At 37.3% G+C, this 15413-nt stretch overlaps 1 protein-coding gene across 17 annotated transcripts in view; it reads right to left on the bottom strand.

Annotated features, from left to right (window-relative positions):
• The window catches only part of NCOA7 (nuclear receptor coactivator 7), a 150920-nt gene that overhangs the window by 74027 nt on the left and 61480 nt on the right, over positions 1–15413 (bottom strand). For 16 of the 17 annotated variants that reach the window (XR_007059204.1, XM_047418206.1, XM_047418207.1 and 13 more), the window contains one exon: positions 2768–2988. The exons of the other annotated variant lie outside the window; for it this stretch is intronic. Coding sequence is in view for 15 of the 16 variants with exons in the window: in XM_047418206.1 (XP_047274162.1) it covers positions 2768–2988 (221 nt within the window). In the remaining variant the exon portion in view is untranslated. The remainder of the gene's footprint in view (positions 1–2767; positions 2989–15413) is intronic. 17 annotated transcript variants of the gene reach the window in all.

The raw sequence follows: 15413 nt of genomic DNA, 5'->3' as shown, positions 1-15413 counted from the left end.
GGTAAAGAGTGAAGCACATTGTTTCAGACTCAGCATTACACACGCGACAGAGTATACCACATAAAAAGGTTATCCTATTACAGCGAGAAATCATTTAAAAAAAAAAAAAGCATACGCTTTGGGCTCGGGTGCAGTGGATCATGCCTGTAATCCCAGCACTTTAGGAAGCCAAAGTGGGTGGATCACTTGGAGTCAGGAGTTCAAGACCAGCCTGGCCAACATGGTGAAATCCCATCTCTACTAAAAAAATAGGTGGTAATAAGTGCTGCATTGCTGAAAATTAGCCGGGCGTGATGGTGTGCACCTGTTATCCCAGCTACTCGAGAGGCTGAGGCAGGAGAATTGCTTCAACCCCAGAGGCAGAGGTTGCAGTGAGCTGAGATTGTGCCATGGCACTCCAGCCTGGGTGACAGAGCGAGACTCTGTATATAAAAAAAAAAAATGCTTTGGGAGGCCAAGGCAGGAGCATTGCTGGTCGGACTTCGAGGCCGGAAGACTGCTCGAGACTAGAAGCTTGAGACCAATTTTATAGTGAGAACCCCATCTTTCTCTCTTAAAAAAAAAAATATATATATATATGTGTGTGTGTGTATGTGTATATATATAGCTGAGTGTGGTGTCATATGCCTGTAATCCCAGCTACTCACGAGGTTGAGGCAGAAGGACTGCTTGAGCCCTGAAGTCGGAGGTTGCAGTGAGCTATAATCCTACCATTGTACTCCAGTCTGGGTGACAGTGCAAGACCCAATCTCAAAACAAACGAAAGATATGAAATGCAATTTTCCTTAATCCTCTTCCTCTTTTTGGAAATAAGGGATAATATTTAATATTTACATTTTAAAAGGAAGTTTATTAATAGTACAGAAGTATCTTTCAACAGGTTGACAGTTATAGCTTTTTATAAAATACTGAATAGCTTGAGATTAAAAACATCCATTAAGACATGTAATACATTATACTATCATCTTAGCCCACTGTAAAGCTACAAACCACATGCTTTCGGCTGCCGATAGATCATCTGCCTGTACGGTAGCAACATCAGCAATGCAGCTTTTATTACTACCTCAAGGGCAGTCCATTTTATCTTGGAATACTGTTCAAACACTGTTGGAAGGTTTCATTAAACATGGATACAAGGTATGTTTCCCTTACCTTGGACCAAGTTTAGGACACCCCAGAACAAGTGTCATTACTCTGTTACAAGGCCACATTTCATTTACCGTATTTGCAGTGTGTTCTTAGTGACTGCCCTTTGCTTTCTCTCCCTTTCCTAGCAATCTCAAGTATGCCATGACCTGTATGCCATGCCATATGTCTTCCAACACTGTTGGAAGGTTACATTAAACATGGAGACATGGCCAGGCATGGTGGCTCACGCCTGTAATCCCAGCACTTTGGGAGGCCCCATCTCTTAGATCACGAGGTCAAGAGATCGAGACCATCCTGGCTAACACGGTGAAACCCCGTCTCTACTAAATATACAAAAAATTAGCCGGGCGTGGTGGCGGGTGCCTCTAGTCCCAGCTACTCGGGAGGCTGAGGCAGGAGGATGGTGTGAACCCGGGAGGCAGAGCTTACAGTGAGCCGAGATCGCGCCACTGCACTCCAGCCTGAGTGACAGAGCGAGACTCTGTCTCAAAAAAAACACAAAAAACAAACAAAAAAACATGGAGACATAAACATATGTCTTCCTGTAACTTTGGTATTAATGAGGACCAAGTTGAGGGTGGCCCAGAACGAGTGTCATTTCTCTGCTATGAGACCACATTTCATTTACCGTATTTGCAGTATGTTCTCAGACACTGCTCTCAGTTTTCTCTCCCTTTCCTAGCAATCTCAAGTATGCCATAACCTGTATGCCACGCCAAGTTCTGATTCCTGGTACCCTTATTTATTTCATTTATTTGCATTCTCTTTGAAACAAAATCCATGTATGCATGTGATAGAACAGTAGGTGTGAGATGGGTGATTCAGGTCAAGCTAGATACGCCACTTCTGCGAATGTAGTTTCAGATGCACGGGTTATTCTGAGAAACTATATAACACTATGGACTCATTTCAAGATTCCCTTTAAGATTCTCAAGTGTCTGAGGTCAGGAATTCAAGACCAGCCTGCTCAACATGGTGAAACCCCGTCTCTACTAAAAGTACAACAAATTAGCCGGGCATGGTGGTGGGCACCTGTAATCCCAGCTACTTGGGAGGCTGGGGCAGGAGAATTGCTTGAACCTGGGAGGCAGAGGTTGCAGTGAGCCGAGATCATGCCATTGCACACCAGCCTAGGGGACAGAGCAAGACTCTGTCTCAAAAAAAAGACTCCTAGGTGTTTTTTTTTGTTTGTTTTTGTTTTTGTTTTTTTAACAAAACAAAAACAAAAACTTGCTAGGCCAAGTCTCCTCCATTTTCTACTGTCTAGCAAATGCCAAAAAGTACAGGCATTTCTATCAGCATATTTATGAATATGTCTACATACATTAAGAAAAATATTTCTCATAAAGAGAAAGTGACTCTTCATTAGATAAACGTTTAGTAGTACACAATACATTCTGGGCACTGTGCTAAATGCTGGGAACACAAATTTAAATGAGACATTATTTTAGTGTGATCCCCTTACACAAGATTATGTATGTAAAGCAAGGGCCAGGGGCACATAGCAGCTGCTCCATAAACTGTTACCATTATTATGATCAATCACAAATGATAGTCTTTTAAAAATTCTTATAGATTTTTTAAATGAAAATACTGCAGTAACGCCATGAATACTCACCAATACTATAATATCTCTTTAGTTCTGTACGCCTGATCTCCTTTAACTGATTACTTTTTCTCTTTTTTTTCTCATCAGTCATATATTCCTCTTCCACAGCAATGTTGCACTTGTCTGGCTCTAAAACTACTGTATTATTATCTTCCTTCCCAGTATGAGTCCTTGTAGCTACAGCTGAGGCTGTCTCTGCATTTTGTTTGGCTTGTTTTTTCTTTTTCAGTCTAGGAAAGAGGGAAAAAAAAGAAAAAACATTGGAGAGATGATTTGCTGGTAGAAATCATATTAATTTCACGCTGCTGGACTTTGAAAACTAATGAACTGATACAGAAAACACTTTCCTTATAATATGGTTCATTACATGTATTGTTCTTTTTTCTTTTCCAATAACTTACAAATTCTTACATGGAGATCTGTGGCCTTTCTTCAACTTGATATAGTCAATACTATATCTCATAAAATTATTGAGAACTGCCATAGGCCTGAGGAAAAATGAGATTCTTCCATAGGCTAAGAAATGTTGAGTATTTTTAAAAATCACAATATATGGTTATGCTACTAGAATGCCATGTTTGGAAGATTACATTTTAAGAAAATGTTTCTGGTTTCAGTGGTACTTTTGACTGATGGGCAAGCACATTTGTAAAAACAAGTCCTTTGTAATTGGCTCACATACTGAGTAAAAGGATTTGGCAAGGTGTGAACTGGGTCACATAGGAGTAATTCTTTTCCTTTAAACATATGGCAATAGTAGTGAAGAAAGAGCTGCATTTCCTAAAATAGAAAATGCCATAATGACAATACATGATTTTCATTATGATTACTGATAGCTGACTGATTATTTGATTATTAGTTAACATATTTGATGTTACAAATTCTTTACTCCTGAGCCAAATATGTGTAAGAGATAAAGTTAGCATAATTCACTGAAAGCCAATACCTCAAAATATTTTCAGTGGACACATCACTCTGTAATTAATTGATATGTCACTCTGTACTTGATAGTCGAGAATGTTTTTGCCTTATCAGAATCTAAGTGCTTTGAGAACAAGGGCCTTGGCCTCTAGTATATGTTGTACTCTACTCATATATAAATATGTATTTTAAAATTATGTCCCTTTTCCCTGTGCCTAGATAGAAAGTATCTAGGCACAGTTAGATTTCTCTCATACATTTCTATTTCCTTCACCCTTTTGAGCATATGTCCAATTTGATGTTGGGCAATGGATAAGGACCTGTTTGGGTAGAAAAATGAGATAACTGTAGGATACACAGGGACTGAAATTTGATATTTCACTGCATTGTTCTGTGATGTCAAACAAATCAATTTGGCAGGCTAGAGAGGTCCCTCCCTGAGGCTACAACACTTAAGAGAACTCTGACCTCAGGCTAGGAATTTCACGCCTTGAACCTTAGTTTTCTTATATCTTAAATGGTGATAACTGTACTTCCTTAGGTCTCTAACAGGATCTTTTATTAGGCTTAATTGACATAATACATGTCAACATATAACACAAACAGAAACAGAAATAGTAAAATATCCCCTAATACAATCATAAAGACATGACAACTAAGCATGGTAAGAAAAATGAGACATTCAGCTTTGGAGATAAAGGTCCCATATTCCAACAAGGTATTTTAATTAGGCTATTATTTACTGAACACTGAGCAGCCAGGTTCTTAGATATTCATTGGCTAACAAATTAGTATATGGCATAAGAGACAGAGCAGCAGAGGAAAAGTCATAGATGAATATACTCCCCATCTCTTAGTTTAGCTATCTTTTAATGTTTGTTTAAAAGACCAAAACTGGAAGTCCTAGCCAGAGCAATCAGGAAAGGGAAAGAAATTAAGAGCATCCAAAATAAAAAAAGAGGAAGTCAAACTATCTCTGTTTGCCAATTATACAATCAAATACCTAGAAACCCTGAAGACTCCTTCATAAGATTCCTAGATTTGATAAATTCAGTAAAGTCTCAGGATACAAAATCGATGTACACAGATCAGTAGCACTGCTATACAGCAACAATGACCAAGCTGACAATCAAATCAAGAACTCAAGGACAGGCAGAGAAAAAAGAAAGAGAACAAAAAAAAGAACTCAAAATATCTCTATAAGGAAACTTACAAAACACTGCTGAAAGGAATTGTAGATGACATGAACAAATAAAAATACACCCCATGCTCATGGACTGGAAGAATCAATATTGTGAAAATGACCATACTGCCCAAAGCAATCGACAGATTCAATGCAATTCCTATCAAAATACCAACATCATTTTTCACAGAATTAGAAAAAACAATCTTAAAACTCATATGGAACCAAAAAAGAGCCCAAATAGCCAAAGAAATCCTAAGCAAAAAGAATAAATCTGAAGGCATCACATTACCCGACATCACATTACCCAACTTCAAATTATACTACAAAGCTATAGTTACCAAAACAGCATGGTACCTGTATAAATGTAAATGTATAGACATTGCAATGGAACAGAATAAAGAACCCAGAAATAAAGCCAAATACTCACAACCAACTGATCTTCGACAGAGCATACAAAAACATAAACTGGGGAAAGGAAACTCTATTCAATAAAGGGTGCTGGAAAAACTGAATAGCTATATGCAAAACAATGAAACTGCATCCCTTATCTCTCACCATACATAAAAATCAACTCAAGATGGATTAAAGACTTAACTCTAAGACCTGATACCACAAAAACTCTAGAAGAAAACCTAGTAAAAATTCTTCTGGGCTGGGCGCGGTGGCTCACCCTATAATCCCAGCACTTTGGGAGGCCTAAGCAGGCAGATCACAAGGTCTAGAGTTCGAGACCAGCCTGATCAACATGGTGAAACCCCATCTCTACTAAAGATACAAAAATTAGCCAGACATGGTGGCACGTGCCTGTAGTCCCAGCTACTCAGGAGGCTGAGGCAGGAGAATCGCTTGAACCCAGGTGGCGGAGGTTGTAGTGAGCTGAGATTGTGCCACTGAACTCCAGCCTGGGCGACAGAGAAAGACTCTTTCTCAGAAAGAAACAAACAAACAAAAAAACTCTTCCGGACATTGGCCTAAGCAAAGAATTTATGACTAAGACCCCAAAAGCAAATGCAATAAAAACAAAAATAAATGGGACCTAATTAAACTAAAAAGCTTCTGCACAACAACAACAAAAAGAAAAAGAAATCATGAGAGTAAACAGACAGAATGGGAGAAAATATTTACAAACTATGCATCTGACAAAGGACTAATATCTAGAATCTATAAGGTATTCAGTCAGCAAGACAATAGCAAATAATCCCATTAAAATGTGGGCAAATGACATGAATAGATATTTCTCGAAAAAAAAAAAGATATACAATGGCCAACAAACTTATTTTTTAAAATGCTCTATATCACGAATCATCGGGGAGATACAAATAAAAACCACAATGAAATACCACCTTATTCTAGCCAGAATGGCTGTTATTAAAAAGTCAAAAAACAATAGATGTTGGTGTGGATGTGGTGAAAAGGGAACACTTATACATTGCTGGTGGGAATATAAATTAGTACAACATTTGCAGTATGGCAATTTCTCGAAGAAATTAAAAGTATATCTACCATTCGATCCAGCAATTGCATTACTGGGTATCTACCCAAAGGAAAAACAGTCATTATACGAAAACAATACCTGCATGTGTAAGTTTATTGCAGCACAATTCACAATTGCAAAGAAATGGAATAAACCAAAGTGCCCATCAACTGATGAGTGGATAAAGAAAATGTGGTCTATATACACCATGGACTACTACTCAGCCACAGAAAAGAACAAAATAATGTCTTCTGCAGCAACTTGGATGGAAATGGAGGTAAGTATTCTAGGTGAAGTAACTTAGGAATGAAAAATCAAATATCACATGTTCTCGCTTATAAGTGGGAGCTAAGCTATGAGGATGCAAAAACATATAGTATGATAATGGACCAGAGGAGGGTGGGATGTGGCTGAGGGATAAAAAACTACATATTGGGTACAATGTACATTACTCAGTTGACAGGTGCACTAACATTTCAGACTCCACCACTATATGATTCATCCACATAACCAAAAACCACTTGTACCACCAAAGCTATTGAAATAATCATATAATTAATAATAAAAAAATAACCAAAAATCACCAAACAATTGGAGACTCATAAAAAGGAATTATTTTCATTAAACATATTATTTTCTATCCTGATTTTAACTTATTTTTCTGGTAAAGGAGTAGGTTGCTCTAGCAAAATTCAGATAATGCCCCTAATAAAACAATTTCTCTCCTGATCAAAATTTCTCTTCTGATCAAAAGTCCTGCGTGAGGCTCAAATTATTCTGCAGCAATCTAGATACCACACAGAGCTTGTCTCTTTACATTGGGAGGCTTATCTATGCAGAGAGCTCATCTCTTTCTCCAAAATGATGGGCTGATTCTGATGTATTGGCTGATCAAAAACATGTTTGGGATTAACTTTGTTGCCCCCTTCCGAAGGTGATTCCTTCTAGATGAAAAGAGATGTCAAATACTAATATTAGTTCTATGCAGCCTGAGATATGCTGCTTCTTAATCTTTTGAATTTTTCCACTTTAAGTTGATTTAAATGTCCTCCTTTCACTGTCCCCACGATAATTAAACTCACTCAGATCTGGGGCATGTGCTTTGATGAACGGCAGCACTGTTTGGGGACATCTCATTAGAGACTCATTTTCACTCATGGAAATAACAAAATGGGATACATTGTTTTATTCTTTTTCTCCCTTTTCTACACAGACTATTATTATCAACACATATAGCCAAACACAGTTGTTACTTCAGAAAAAAAGCTAGAAAATAGCAATCCCAAAGTTGTTTAACAGCAGAGTACCATTTAATACCTTAGAAATTCTACAATCAGATAATCTTTTGTTTTGACTAAAGTACTCATGAGACTTTGTTTCTCTGGAGATTATCAATATAACTAGAATATTCTGATCTTGCAACTGGAAATCAGATGTGTTTCTGGAAGCCCTCTGTAAAATCCTTCCTTCCAAGTATAGAGATCAATTTCTAACACTTTTTACAAAGGAGAATAGCTGCCAACCTGAGAAATTTGGTATAGTTAATGCTCTTCAAGCATTCCTTTTCAGGGCTTTAATCTTTCAGTCCTTACCTTTTGTTTTTACGTCAATATCTATCTTGTTAAGATAGTCTCACAATACGGATTTGCTATCATTAACTTAAGATAAACTGAAAAAAATTGGTCTTGCAGAAAAATGAACTCCCATTATTTCATCTAAGCATTTTTCATGACCTCAAATATAGACTGATTTTATACTGTGGACTAAAAATACACTTGGCAAATCATCTTAAATGATGAGTGACTGAAAAATAATGAAGTACATTTAAGATTTGATTGCTGTGAGTACAAGTGGGAAAAAAACCCAAAACCTTTATTTTGCATTTGTATTTCTTTAAAATACATCACAATTACATAAAACAGGTGTTTTAAATTGTAGTCAAGACTTGTCAATTCTATCTTCTAATCCTATCTTTCCCACTCCAGTTTACCTTCTCTTCATAATCTCTGCTTTGTCAGGCTTTCATCATCTCTGTGGCCTGGACTACGTTTTATGATATTATATTTTTCTTCTTTTATTATGAAAACAAAACATGTCATAACAGAAAATTTTCAAAGTGCAAAAAAAGAATAAGACTTAGAACAAATGCAATGCTAACATAAGAAGCAATCACTGTTTGGGGAAGGCAAGGTGAAAGCCAAAAGAAAAGACAAATTACGCTATGGGCTTCCCCAAGGGCAGAAGAATGAGGCAATGTGGCTTGATACCATGATTGCGAGCTTCTTATTTATACCTTTCCATAAAGGAATATTAAAGAGCTTTTTTAAATTCTGGAATCTCTTGGCTTTTTTATATTATAATGGTGTAGGCACTTGTAGAATGCACACATACTTCACTTTTTCCCTACTAGTGTTCCAGCCCAGAGTTAGCCGACTGACTGCAGAAGTGAGCAAGGGGCTCCTGCTAAAGAAATCATTTGTAGTAGCTGAATGAAAACGGGTTTTCTTCTGAAGCTTTTTCTTTTACAAAAGGAAATGAGTTTGGGGCACTGGCAGTAAGCAAAGCCAGGGTCTTGGGCAAGTTCCTTTCTTACATGGCACACATTAGGTACTCAGTAAATATTTCTTGAATAAATTAATGGATAAATGAGCCCATGTTCTGAGATATGCTGCTTCTTAATCTTCTGAATTTTTCCACTTTAAGTTGATTTAAATGTTCTGATTTGGTTGAGATGTGCTCTTCTACAAACAGCCATTTCACAGCTTTCTCTGATTAGCAGCATGGTCTCCAAAATGAACTCCCATCTTCTTATTTAAGGTATTTGATTTTAAAATAAAGTTTATTAGCCACACATTATTTATTTATTTTTTATTATACTTTAAGTCCTAGGGTACTTGTGCACAACATGCAGGTTTGTTACATAAGTATACATGTGCCATGTTGGTTTGCTGCACCCATCAACTCGTCATTTACATTAGGTATTTCTCCTAATGCTATCCATCCCCCAACCACCACCCCCCGACAGGCTCCAGTGTGTGATGTTCCCTACCCTGTATCCAAGTGTTCTCATCGTTCAATTCCCACCTATGAGTGAGAACATTCGGTGTTTGGTTTTCTGTCCTTGTGATAGTTTGCTGAGAATGATGGTTTCCAGCTTCATTCATGTCCCTGTAAAGGATATGAACTCATCCTTTTTTATGGCTGCATGGTATTCCATGGTGTATACGTGCCATATTTTCTTAATCCAGTCTATCATTGATGGACATTTGGGTTGGTTCCAAGTCTTTGTTATTGTGAATAGTGCCGCAATAAACATACATGTGCATGTGTCTTCATAGCAGCATGATTTATAGTCCTTGGGGTATATACCCAGTAATGGGATGGCTGGGTCAAATGGTATTTCTAGTTCTAGATCCTTGAGGAATTGCCACACTGACTTCCACAATGGTTGAACTAATTTACACTCCCACCAACAGTGTAAAAGCATTCCTATTTCTCCACATCCTCTCCAGCATTGGTTGTTTCCTGACTTTTTAATGATCGCCATTATAACTGGCGTAAGATGGTATCTCATTGTGATTTTGATTTGCATTTCTCTGATGACCAGTGATGATGAGCATTTTTTCATGTGTCTGTTGGCTGCATAAATGTCTTCTTTTGAGAAGTGTCTGTTCATTCCTTTGCCCACTTTTTGATGGGGTTGTTTTTTTCTTGTAAATTTGTTTGAGTTCTTTGTAGATTCTGGATATTAGCCCTTTGTCAGATGGGTAGATTGCAAAATTTTTCTCCCATTCTGTAGGTTTCCTGTTCACTCTGATGATAGTTTCTTTTGCTGTGCAGAAGCTCTTTAGTTTAATTAGATCCCATTTGTCAATTTTGGCTTTTGTTGCCATTGCTTTTGGTGTTTTAGACATGAAGTCCTTGCCCATGCCTCTGTCCTGAATGGCATTGCCTAGGTTTTCTTCTAGGGTTTTTATGGTTTTAGGTCTGACATTTAAGTCTTTAATCCACCTTGAATTAATTTTTGTATAAGGTGTAAGGAAGGGATCCAGTTTCAGCTTTCTACATATTAGCCACACATAATTTAAAATGTACTGAACTACAGACTGCTTTAATTAGTATTAAATTCACAGTTATATATGACTCTGTTCTTAATTTTAAAATTTGGGATCCATGTGTTTTTGAAAAATGCACACTTTTGAAAAAGACGTAAATACCTTGTATGGCATTGCTCAATGTGGTAGCCACCAGCCAGTCACCGATAGTTACTACATTTAGTTAAAATTGAACTTAAAATTATTCACTTGTAAGAAATACATTTCTAGACTCATGTCCTAGTGGTTACTCTATTGGACAACACACAATACAGAATACTTCCAGCATCACAGAAAGTACTAGACAATATTGATCTAGAGCTATAGTTAGTCCTATTTGCAAGAGATTAGAGAGAAGGCTAAAGATACAGTATTTAAAATGTAACAAGTATATGCAGAAAATATGTGTACAAGGGTACATACACACACACACAAATACTTTTTATTATGTTCTCATTTGTACATTTTGAATTTTATACCATGTACAATTACATATTAAAAATATTTTAAGTAGTCTTTGAAATCTCTCTCCTACTATAATAATCTAACACACAAATATTGTCAAATTTTTTAAACTGAATTTTACTTTTCAAAAACTTATGACAAGCTTTAAACAGCTTTCTTCTAACAGGAACTACTAAGTTGACTAAGGAACCAGGCACCATGCTATGTACTTCACAAATATTAGCCTATCCTCACAAAAGCCCAATGAGGTAGGGAGTTTTATCTCTATTTTACAGATAAGAAAAGGAAGGCTGAGAAAAACTAGGGCCATTTCCCAAGGTCACAGGGCACAGTTTAGTTGTGGAGCGGGAATTCACAAGCCTAGGTTACAGCCAACTGCCACAGGGCCTCCCCGAAGCCCCTCTAAATGTGGCTATGGCATATATGTAAACGTCAACTTTAAAATAAAATCCAGTGGACTCTGAAAATTCTACAAACTATGTGGGGGCCTGAAAATTTAGTGGGCTTCAATGGATTGTGCACTCACAGAAAGACTGGAACACAGATTTGGGTTCTGGGCTTGGCTTTCTCTGTAATCAGCCCTGCAACCTGCATTGGAAATATGATAAACCCCCTGGGACTTCTAAGTAAACAAAAGCAAGAGGCTAACATGATTTTCAAGGTCCTGTCTGGCTCTAATAGTTTGCCCTTGGCGGAGAAGAGTAGGAAATGTGTTAAAGTTGTTTTGATTAAAAAAAAAAAAAAAAAATTTTTTTTTCTTTTTTATATCCAAACTAAACCATCCCAAGGGTCTTGCACTTCCCTATGTTTTTTCTAAGTCTCACATTTGATTACATTTTCCTTCCACTGCAGAATTTCTAGCCCTGGAAAAGTCCAGAAGCCAAGACAGTCAGAAGCCCATTCCTCTACAAAGGCTATTAAAAGCAAAAATAAAAACAAACAAAAAAACAACCAAAACCAAACCAAGAACAACAACAAAACACTGCTCTATAATTTGGGGCTAATAGCTCCAGGAAGAAAACTAGAAAATATCAAAATTGACCAGCCATGAGAACAGACCCATGAAAGTCTTCTTTCATACAAACTTTCTCCTTAAAATCGCCTCTGTAGGGAAATAGAGTACTAATATAAAATATGTAGCTATAGCATTATTTCATGAAAAAAAGATGTAAAACAGTATTGCAGCATGACTCCATTTTTGTGGAAAAAACAACAACAAAAAAAGCAAAATCCCTCAAGACCAAATATACACATAGATATGGATATATACAGGTTCGGTGGATGTATGAGAAAACGGTTGGTCAATGAGTGGGGAGAGAAGAACTTGCACTTTTTTGTTTTTTTGAGACAGAGTCTTGCTCTGTCACCAGGCTGGAGGGCAGTGGCGCGATCTTGGCTCACTGCAACCTCCGACTCCCTGGTTCACACGATTCTCCTGCTGAGTAGCTGGGATTGCAGGCATGCAGCACCACCATGCCCAGCTAATTTTTGTATTTTTAGTAGAGATGGGGTTTCACCATGTTGACCAGGATGGTCTCTACTTCCTGAGCTCGTGATCTGCCCACATCAGCCTCCCAAAATGCTGGGATTACAGGCATGAGCCACCGTGCCCAGCCAAGAACTTTTACTTTATAGGTATGTAATGTGGTGGTGTTGAATCTTTTGTACGGTAAGCATATATTACTTTTGTAATTATAAGGTTAACAAACAACAACAAAATTAAATATCTGCAGCTATGGCAACATTTTGCTACCTCTTGTTTAGTGGTTCATTCTTTCTCCTGAGTCCAGCTAGCTTAGTAAATTGCTGGACTGCAATCCCACATCACTTTTTTTTTAAATCAGATAGAGCTGGTCTGCCTCCCTCCAGGGACCTTCTCTTGGTTCTTTTCTTGGCTGTTCTGGCTGCAGCCTTGTCATTGCATTGTTCTGACCTTCAGGGCCTAGGCTGTTTTTTCCTGGTCGTCTAATTCTGACTTCTGCCACCTCTGACAATGGAACGAGCTCAGTCTTTGGGCAGAAACGTTTGTGTTTGAATCGTCTTGTACTTTGGATGCACATCCTTTGGCGAGTTACCAAATCTAAGCCTCAGGTTTGTTGTCCTTGACATAAAAATAATAGCCTCCAATGGGTTTTTAATGGTGATTAAAGCAAATGGTACAGAGAAAGCTTACTTTACTATTAAACACAACCTGTGCCTGGTTTCCAGGAAGAGCTTAATAAACAAAAGTTACTAATTTGTTGTGCTGCTGCTGTTATTCTTACTTGGGGATTTCAAAGAATCCAAGTAAATGAGAGAACATATAAAGCACAACATATTTAACACAAAAAAGAAGGTATGTGACAAATGCCAGGTATTAATATATGTTCATGTCCTTTTTCTCACTCTACATAAATATTAATTGTATTTAACTCTATGAATTTAGTCATCAATACAAAGCCACTTATTATTTCTAGAAGAACATCACTCTTTGAACTCCATTTCATTTTGTCATTTCATAGTTTTCCATTTCCACTGAAAATCCCCACTTATGAGCCATTATATGCCAAATTAAGTCAAACTTAAAGGCAAAGGGAGAAAAACAGTTAAAACAACAACTCACTTGAAGAAAATTTTCTCTTGGAATTCTGGCCAAATAAAAACAAAAGATTTAAGAGTAATCACTGGAAAAACCTGTGGATGTTCCTGATTCTAGTGTAACCCATGGAGACATGCATTCTTTTTTTCCTTTTTTCTAATCGTGATAATGAGATTCTTCCCACTGCTAAAACTGAAATTCATCAGTTAAAACGAAAATACTCCGGCTTCAAAGAACCAATACAGTTAGGAAAAGAGATTCTTTGGCTTTGTGTTCAATAACTAGCAATATATCCTTCAGATGGGTACACATACACACAACAGCATTTCCCCTAGCCTCAAAGAACAACCACATTCTAATAAAGACAGATAAACAGAATGCCAATCAGGGGAAACCACAACAATTCAATTTTCCTTTTCTAGGATTTCCTTGTACTGTTAAAACAGTGGTGGGTCAGCAGGTCTTAGAAGACCCCGGTAACCAAAGTGTGGGGGCCAGAAATGGCCAAAACCAAATTCTCTCTCAGAGAAGCCTTGGGGTGGGACATTTCAGAAAACCTTATAAGCATCCCCCAGTACCAGGATCAAAATGACACTGCTGCAAAATGGATGCACACTGTGTAGAATGTCTACATTGTATTATTTATAAAACAAAACAGCCCTTTGTTGAATGTACACATTGCCCCATGTGAGAATTTGGTTCCCTTTTCTAGAAGTCAGAATGCTGAGTCACGGCCTAAAAATGGTTTGGAGAAATTGATGGTGCAGACAATGGTAATATATATCTCATCTATAAATTAAGGAAGGGAACCAGAAAAGGGAACTCACTCCAGGTAATAAGAGAATTGTGTTGTGCTATAAGTCAACAAAAAGGCCTACAAATATATTTAAATATTAGGAATTTTACTGCTTATCAACCAAGAATAAGCTGACAAACACCGCAACTCAGAAGTTAATCAAATTTGGCAAAGAGAAATTTAAAGAAAGTATTTGGAAGTTGTTTATTCTCTTTTGCTTTACATTGATATTATGCACGTAGCTTATTTAACATAGTTAAATTGACTGGATGTATTAATTCCCTATGGCTGCTGTACCAAATTACCACACACTTGGTAACTTAACACACATTTATTCTCTTACAGTTCTGGAGGTCAGAAGTCTAAAATCAGACTCACCAGGCTGAAATCAAGGCGTCCACAGGGCCATCCTCCCCATTAGAGGTTCTTTTCTTGCTTTTTCCAGCTTCTAGAGCTATATTACTGGTAGCCCCTTCCTCCATTTTTCAAAGCCAGCTGCATGGCACACTGCTTTCTCTGCAGTCAAACCTCCCTCTTATATGGACACTTAGGATTGCATATAGGACCCATTCAGACAATCCAAGTTAATGTCCCTATATCAAGGCCCTTAATCACATCTGCAAGATCTCTTTGGCCATAAAAGGTAACATTCTCAGGTACCAGGGATTAGGAACTGGCTATCTTTGGGGGTCACTATTCAGCCTACCACACTGGCTAACTTAGCTTTTATGTTACAAATAATTGCAAACTGAGCATCATATCACATTAGTGTCTTAGTGTCTATGTCTAAATCATTACTATGGCTATTCAATGTATTGTCTATGATACTTGAAAAAATTCACTACTGGCAGTGAGTAGCAATAAACATATTTCTAAAGCAAAAGCAAAAGGTTTATTCAAGACTACCCTGAAATCTGCAATTAGAATATTACAGATGTGAATTTTTTATTTATGGTGGATGACTTCAAAACAGCCTCTTGGAAGTGGGAGTATTAGAAGGAAAATTTTAACAGGTAGGATTTCTAAAGAGTTAAGTCTCATTTTCATATCTAATTACTTAGATCTGCATTGAATCAGTTCATCATTGTTTATAATCCCTTACACAAAGCTGTTTATAATCCCTTACAAAGCCAAGAAAGTC

This window comes from Homo sapiens, chromosome 6, assembly GCF_000001405.40.
Source record: "Homo sapiens chromosome 6, GRCh38.p14 Primary Assembly".
Taxonomy (NCBI): Eukaryota; Metazoa; Chordata; class Mammalia; order Primates; family Hominidae; genus Homo; species Homo sapiens.
Note: the sequence above shows the minus strand (reverse complement) of the source record. Positions and strands in the feature narration are given on the sequence as shown.